We start from the raw sequence: 9,119 nt of genomic DNA, 5'->3' as shown, positions 1-9,119 counted from the left end.
GGTGTGGGTCCTGCGAGATGTCACAATACCCCTTGTGTGAAGGTCTTTGTGGGAAAGTCACATCACCTGGCTGCTGGTTTCAGTGACATATCAAAAACTCCTCTGTGGGCAGGACTTTGGAAAAAGAGGAGACACAATTCACTTAGGCAACTGGCCTAGGTATATTTCATAGTGTCTTTTCTGTACAGTACCAAACCTGGAGCATGATCACACATTGGTGCTGGACCCAACAATATGTCACAATCTCCCTGTAATCAAGACAAAGGCTAAAGCAAAAAAGAAACACAACTTAGGTGTTGAGCCAAGTGATACATTACAATGCTTCCTGTTGGCAGATCCCAGGAAGGAGAATCACATCACCTGGGTGCATTGCACACTTATGTGTCACAATGTACTGTAAGTGCTTGTCCAAGGCAGTATAAGGTTGTCACATCACATACATGATGGACCGAGATACGAGACACAATTCTATTTGCAGGCAGGTTTCAGGCAGATAATTCACTTTACCCAGGTGATGGTCCAGGAATATATAAAAGTGTCATTTTGTAGGCATAGCCAAAGAAGGTGTTATACATGGCTTACGTGTCTGTTCCACGTATGGCACAATTTCATTCTAGGCTTTGGCCTAGAAGAGACTGTCAAATTATTCATATGCTGGGCAAATTTACCTGTCTCAATCATACTCTTAGAAACATTGAGAAATATGTTTTTTATCGCACATGAATCCTGGTTTTGTGTATTTGAGTTAACTCTTTCTATGAGTTGGGTCGAAGTAGAGGAGTCACAATCCCAACCATGGGCAAGATCCATGTATAGTAGCCTCAATCCTACTTGAATATCATGTTCCAGTAGGAGAGTCAGAGCATCACAAGTGTGCTGAATCATGTTTCAAATATTACCAAACTACCTGTGAATCAGATCCATGTACTATAGTAATTATTTCAAGCTTTGACTGCTTTTTATGAGTGAGATTTAGTATCACATTCCTAGGCCCTGTTTATGTGTCAGAATGACTACCGTGTCAGCTAGGTGTGCATACAAGAGTCACGTTCTCACCTGGTTGCTGTTCTCTGTTATGACACTGTTATGACGCTGTTATGTACCAATAAGGCTTTATATGATATACCACAGCGTTATAATCCTTCATGAATATTATGCAAGTGAAAAACCCAGGACCTTACCCATGGCAGTGCAACTGGCTATGAGAGTCACACCATCCCTACTGGCTGGGTCCAGGAATGAGAGTCATTATTGCACATGTGTGCTTATCCCAGTTATATGTCACACTTTCACCTATGAGCTGGGACAATGTGGGAGAGTCACATAACCTGGGTACTGAGCCACTGACACAATATGGTCTCATTTGTAGGCTGGGCCTAGTCAGAAGGGTCAAATCAGTAGATGTTGGGCTCTGCAAAATGTAATAATTCCCTCTCTTGACAGAGTTTAGGATATGAAGGAGAGTCACATCACCTATGTTTTGTAATCAGTGGTATGTCACCACATCTGTGGTAAGCAGGACCCCGTCAGGAGAAGAGAGTCACATGACCTAGATGTTTGGTCAAATGATATTTCACCATGTACTCTGGGGGTGGGTACAGGCAGGAGAGACAAATCACCTATCTCTTAGGCCCAGAGATATGTGATAATATCCCTTGTTTGCAGGGTCCAGGCAGAAGTAACAAGATTATGATTCTAACCCTGCAATATGTCAAAATGCATCTATGGGGAAAAAATTAAGCCAAAAAGTCTCAACACCTGGGTACTAGGCCTAGTAATAGGTCAAATCTTTTGTTTTTGTGGGTGATATCATTAAATTGAGCTGGGTGTGTATATGAGATTCACAATATCATGTGTTCTTTGGGCTATTGTATGACACTCTACAACATTTGAAGGCTTTATACAGCATGCATCAGGGTTGCAAACTACTCTGAAGCCTATGTGCTCAGAGGGATTCATGAGCTTACCTATATCCCTAAACCCATGGATAATAGTAAACATCTTTTATGTGGGATGGTTTTAGGTATGAGACCCATTATTATGCCTATGAGCTGGAAACAGAAATAAGTCACCATCCCACCTGTGGCCAGATCCACATATGAAGGTCAAAATTCCAACCTGGTACTGTATTCACTTGTTAGACTCACGATGTTAACAGTGGGCTTTGGACATGTGGGATGGTGACAACATTTGCTTTTACCTGGGCATGTAATTGAAGGTCCCAATCTGAATTTTCTGCTGGTCCCTGTCATGAAACTCTCTGTACCAATCAAGCAACTTATACATTATGAGTTAGTGTTGTAAAGTTCTGTGAGCGTTCTACAAATATGCAACCAAGGACCTTACTTATTGCCCTATGCCTAGTGATGAAAGGCAAAATATCTCCTATTGTCTGTATCCAAGTTTAAGTTTGACCATTATGCCTGTAAACTGAAATAAGGTATATGTCATAGTCCCATTTGTGGGCAAAAAACTAGGCAGGAGGGTAACGTTACTTAGGTGCTGTGCCAAGTAACATGTCCCAATGTCCTCTCTAGGGAGTGTATAGGAATTAGAGTCACATTAACTAGATGCTGGACTCAGCAATATGCCCCCATCTCAAATGTGGGAAAAAATCCAGGCTGGGCACCATGCCACACGCCTGTAATCCCAGCACTTTGGGTGGCCAAGGCAGGCAAATCACGAGGACAAGAGTTCTAGACCAGCCTGACCAACATAATGAAACCCCGTCTCTACTAAAAATACAAAGATGAGCCGAGCATGGTGGCACATGCCTGTAATCCCAGCCACTCAGGAGGCTGAGGCAGGAGAACAGCTTGAACCTAGGAGGCGGAGGTTGCACTGAGCCGAGATCACACCATTGTACTCCAGAGCTCCAGGCTGGGTGACAGAGCAAGATTCCATCCCCCCACCAAAAACAAACAAACAAACAAATAAAATAAAAATAAAAAAATAAAAAAGCCAAGTTACGACAGACAAAACACATACATAATGGGCCCAGGAGAGGTCAAAATACTTTCTTTGGCTCTGGGACAAGCATGAAAGTCACATTAACAGGGTGCTGGGCCCAGAAATCTGCAATAATTATCTCTATATGCAGGACCCAGGTAAAAGACTAACATCATCTGTGTGTTGGGGTCCTGCAATAGGTCAAAATTTATTGTGTGATCATGGTTCAAGAAAAAAGAAAAAAGTAAAATAACCTGAGGGCTGGGCTCAGCAATATGGCATAAACCACTGTTATAAAAGCCAGGGAGAAGAAGCAGTCTCTTCACTTAGGCCAAGGGCTCATAGATGTTCCCCACTGCAGACAAATATCTGCAGGGCCCAGGCAGAAAAGGAGAGTCATATCACCTAGGTACTTCCCTAGTTATACATCACAATCCAACATTTGGGCAGAAATTAGACAGAAGAGACATATCACTTGGGTACAGCCTGTAATAATATGCCAGATCCCCAATGTAGACAGTTTTGAAGAAGAAAAAGAGAATCACACTGGCTGGGTGCTAAGCTCAGAATTATGAAATAAAGCCTGGCAGAGTTTAGGAAAAAAAGGAAAGTCACGTCACCAAGGTATTTCACTCAGTAATATGTCACAATTTCTTCAGCCGGCAGAATCCAGGCAGGAGGGGAGAGTCACATTACCTAGATGCTATATCTCACGATATGTCATAGTGCCCCTGTGGGCAGGACACTGGCAGGGAGACATATCAGGTAGCCAATAGGCCCAGAGATATCTAAAAATATTCCCTGATTAAAAGGTCCAGCCAGAAGAATCACATTATCATGATTCTGAACCAGTGATATGTAACAAAGTGCTTATAGAAAGGAATTTAAACCAAAAAGTCTCAACACCTGGGTACTAAGCAAATGGATATGACACATCTTTTCATTTTTAAGGGCGAAAATATTAACTGTTAGCTAGTTGTGTATATGAGAGCCACAGTCTCACATATGTACTGGCCATTGTATGGCACTCTCTATAACATCAGGGAACTTTGTTCAGCATGCATCAGAGTTGCTAAACTTTCTGAGGCTTACATGTTTATATGGACTCATGATCTTATATATAGCCATAAACCCAGGCATGACAGAATACAGATTTCCTATACACTGGACTCAGGAATGAGACCACAATTATGCCTGTTACCTGGAGCCAAAAATGAATCACCATCCTATATGTGGCCACATTCACTTATGAATGTCACAATTCCAACTTTCTGCTGTATTTACTTGTTAGACTGAGGACCTCAACAATGGGCTTTGTAAATTGAGAATATGTAGTCAAGAGTCACAATCTTAACTTTTTGCTGGGCCCTATTATCAAACTCTCTATACCAGCCAAGAAGTTTCTCTGATATGATTTAGTATTGTAAATTTCAGTGAGTTCTGCACAAGTATGCAATGAAGGACCTTAACTATTGACATAAACATAGTTGCTTGAGGCAAGATATCCCCTGTTGGCTGAATCCCAATATAAGCTTGATCATCTTACCTTTGAACTGAAGCAAGGTATATATCCTAATCCCATTTGTGGGCAAGAAAATTAGGCAAAAAGTTAAAATCACTTAACTGATGTGCCACACAACATGTCACAGTGTCATCTCTAGGCAGGGCCTAGAAAAGAGGGTCACATGAACTGGGGGCTGGAGCCACCAATATGATACAAACTCATGTTGAAGAAACCCAGAAAAGTGATGAGGTCAAAACACCTAAAGAATGGGCCAATAATATGTCAAAATACCTTCTGGAGCTCTGGCAGAAGGAGGAGAGTTACATCATTGGAGTACTGGGCTGAGCAATATGCTATAATGTTTCCATTTATGCATGACCTAGGCAGAAGAGTGACATAATCTGGGTGCTGGGCCCTGAAGCACAGGAAAAGTCCTGTTTGTGGGCATTGTTCAGCAAGAAAACAAAAGACACATTACCTAAGTGCTGGACTCATTAATATGTCAGAATATTCCCATCAGAGAAGCACAGACAGAGGAAGAGTCAAATGACTTAGGTCATGGGCTCAGAGATGTGTCTCAGTGTCACCAGTAAGCTGGGCTCAAGCAGAAAAAGAGAGTCATATAACCCAGTTGTTTCCTTAGGTATATGTCATAATTTAATATGTGGGCAGAAACCAGGCTGAGGAAACACATCACCTGATTCTTGGTCCTGATGTATTCACATCACTTGTCACCCTTAGAAAAGGACCCAGGCAAGGGAGATACATCACCTAGGTCCAGATTCCACCCTTATGTCACAATGCCCCATGTGGGCAGGACCAAGCAGGAAGTCACATTAATTAGGTGATAGCCACAGAGATATGTCAAAAAGTCTTCCCTAAAGCATGGCTCTGGCAAAAGAGCATCATCACCTTTGTGCCTGGCCTAGCAGTATGTCACTCTTCAAGTGGGCAGGTCCTATAACCTACATGATAGGCCCTGTGATATGGCAAAATGTCCTCTTTGAGGAATGGCCCTGGAAAAATAGTATCATCAGTGATGTGCCTGGCCTAGGAATGTGTCATCATCCATCCCTGTGTGCAGGGCTCATTCCAGAGAGGAGAGTTACATCTCCTAAGTGATGGACACAGTGATGTTGTTAAGATGTTTCTGGGCATGGTGCAGACACTAATGTAAAGTAACCTGGGAGCTGGATCCAGCGATGTCACCATTCTTACTGAGCATGATCCAGGCAGAAGAGTCACAGCACTTTAAAATTGGCTTAGGTAGATGTCAAAATCCCATATGTTGGCTGGAACGAGTCAGAAGAGTAAAATCACACAGATACCTGACAAAGATTTATATCACAATTATGATGGAATAAAATACCACACATGTGCTGTTTTCATGTAGGACAGTTGCCTCCATCCATCTGTAATAGTGAAAGTCCTTACTGTCAGCTGGGTCTCAGCATTGGAGACCCAGAATCCCTTTTGTGTGCTAGGCCCTGTTATGACACTCTCTATACAACCCAAGGGTGTTATAAGATATGCGTGAGTTTTGTAATCTTCTGTGACATTTTACAGAAGAAGATCCTGGAAATCACTCAGGTACATGAACCTAGAAGAGTCAAAATTTCTCCTATTGGCTTGGTCCACCTATGAGAGTCATTATTATGCCTTTTAGCTGTGCCTAAGTATATGTCACCATCCCCTTTGTGGTTATTAAACAGGCAGGAAAACCATGTCACCTAAATCCTAAGCCAGAAATATTCCAATATTCTCTTTGTAGGCAAAACACGAACAGAAATCTCACAAATATGGGGTGTTAACCCAACTCTATGGCATAATGCCTCCTATGGAGATTGTCCAGGCAGGAAAGGAGAGTCATACCACCTAAATGATGGCACAGAAATATGTCACAATACCTACTATTGAAAAGGTTAGGCAAGAGGGTTATGTCATTTGGATGCAGTGCTTAAAAATGCTACACTCTTCACAGGAAGCAGGGTTCAGACAGGAGAGGAGAGTCACATAAGCTAGACGATAAGTCTAGAAATATGTTATGATTTCTTCTGAGGATAGTGTTAAGACACAAAATTCAAATCACTGTTGTGGGAAGTCAGGGAACCCGAACAGAGGGGCTGGCTGAAGCCATGGCAGAAGAACATAAATTGTGAAGATTTCATGGACATTTATCACTTCCCCAATCAATACTCTTATAATTTCCTATACCTGTCTTTACCTTAATCTCTTAATCCCAGTATCTTCATAAGCTGAGGATGTGTGTCACCCCAGGACCCTGTGATGATTGTGTTAACTGAAAAACTTGTTCATAAAGCATGTGTGTTTGAACAATACGAAATCTTGGCACCTTGAAAAAAGAACAGGATAACACCAATGTTCAGGGAACAATGGAGATAATCATTAGGTCTGACTGCCTGGGAACCAGGCAGGACAGAGTCATATTTCTCTTATTACTGAAAATGGGTAAGAGAAATATTGCTGAATTCTTTCCTCAGTAAGGAATACTAATAATTAACAGCCCTGGGAAAAGAATACACTCCTCGGGGGAGGGGAGCCTCTAAAACGGCCACTCTGGGAGTGTCTGCCTTATGCAGTTGTAGATAGGGATGAAACATGCCCTAGTCTCTGGCAGTGTCCACAGGCTTGCTAGGATTAGGAAATTCCAGCCTGGTGAATTCTAGTCAGACTGGTTCTCTGCTCTTGAACCCTGTTTCTGTTAAGACATTTGTCAATGACAATGCATGCACAGTGGGACATGAAACTCCATCAGCAATTCTAGTTTCACCCTGGCCTTGTGACCCTGCCCCACCCATTCGCCTTGTGATGTTTTATTGCCTTTGAAGCATGTGATCTCTGTGACCCACACCCAATGTGTACACTCCCACCCCTTTGAAATTTGCTAATTAAAAACTTTCTGGTTTTGCAGCTCAGGGGGCATCATGGAACCTGCTGACATGTGATGTCTTCCCCAGACAACCAGCTTTAAAATTTCTCTCTTTTGTACTCTTTCCCTTTATTTCTCAGACATGCCTGCACTTAGGGAAAATAGAAAAGAGTCTATATTGAAATATTGGGGGCTGGTTCCCCTGATATCTGGTGCACCAATGTGTTTTTTTCTTTTTCCTAAGTGCATGTGGGAATCCAATTCCCTTTGGTAGGTAGGTGTGGAGAAACATCATCGGTTTGGTCCACAGAAACACTTGTTCAACTCCCTGATGATTTGTGAGTAGTCTGTGAATTTGTCTGGGTTAACTATGGGTCATACAGAGTCTAAAAATTATACTTATCTCTTCTATATTAAACTCCAGTTAAAAGAGGAAAGGGTTTGAGTGCCCATGGAAAAATATGATCACTCTATTCAAGAGAGTGGGAAAATACTGTCCTTGGTTTCCTGAAAAAGGAAACTTAGATGTAGACCTGTTAAAACGGGGAAGGGTCTAAGTAACCATGGAAAATATGGTGACTGTATTCAGGGCAGTGGAAAAATACTGTCCTTGGTTTCCTGAAAAAGGAAACTTATATGTAAAATTATGGGATCATGTTGGTTCAATATTCTGGGAACTGGTCTCGACAGGGAATTATGTTCCCATCGCTGTGTGGGGTGATTGGGCCTTGGTACATGCTGTCCTAATACCTCCTCAACTTTCCTTTCCCATACCGCCTTTGTTATCTGCTCAGCCTCTCCCTTCACCTACTCCTCCCCCCACCTAACGATGCTGAAAATTCAGTGTCTAACTCCAGTAACTTTGGCTTAATGTTACCCCCTGCTGACCTTATTTCTTTTCATGAAAAGCCAGTACTTGTAACTCCCGTGGCCCCAACTCCTACAGCCCATTTCCATATATGTGGTAATTCTTCTCTCTTCAAACCTCTGGTGTCAGCTAATGGCTCTGGAACCAAACTACAATTTACCTTTAATTCTCCAAGCACTCCCCCATCCATCGCATCCCCGCACCCTCCTGTCATTTCAGTTCCTCAACCGGTCTGCATCATTGTGTACCTCTCAATCTTACCTTTTTAAAAGAATTTAAGGATGCTTGTACTCAGTATGACCCTACTTCTCCTTATGTTAAAATGGTATTACAAACTTTTGTACAGAGGTCATTTTCCTTCCTTTAGACTGGGACCTTTTGGCAATAGCTGTTCTAACCCATCTCAGCATTTACAGTTTTGTACCTGGTGGTCAGAGAAGGCCTATTTGCAGGCTCAGCTAAATTTGACTAATGGCATTCTAACTACTCAGGCTCAGCTCACAGGGTCTGATAATTTCTCTGATACTTATGCCCAATTAAACTTTGATGCTCTTACCACAGAACAAGTAGCAAAGGTGTGTATGAGAGCTTGGGATAAATTACGCACCCTAGGCCAAGCTCCTGCTTCTTTTACTACTGTTAAACAAGGTCACACTGAATTATACCCTGATTTTTTAGCTAAATTACAAGATGCTGTTGAAAAATCTGTCTCTAATTATCATGTTCAAGGTGTTCTCCTTTGTATGTTAGCTTTTGAAAATGTGAACCATGAGTGTAAGATGGCCATGCATTCCATCCAATGACAAAATTTACTGGATCACGAGATGTTGCCTGCATACATTAAAGTTTAATCTGACACACCTGTGAGGATTAAACACCTGCAGTGGCTTCTAAAGAAAACTGGAGGG

This window comes from Homo sapiens, chromosome Y (genome assembly GCF_000001405.40).
Source record: "Homo sapiens chromosome Y, GRCh38.p14 Primary Assembly".
In the NCBI taxonomy this organism is placed as follows: domain Eukaryota; kingdom Metazoa; phylum Chordata; class Mammalia; order Primates; family Hominidae; genus Homo; species Homo sapiens.
This window is presented reverse-complemented; position numbering follows the sequence as displayed.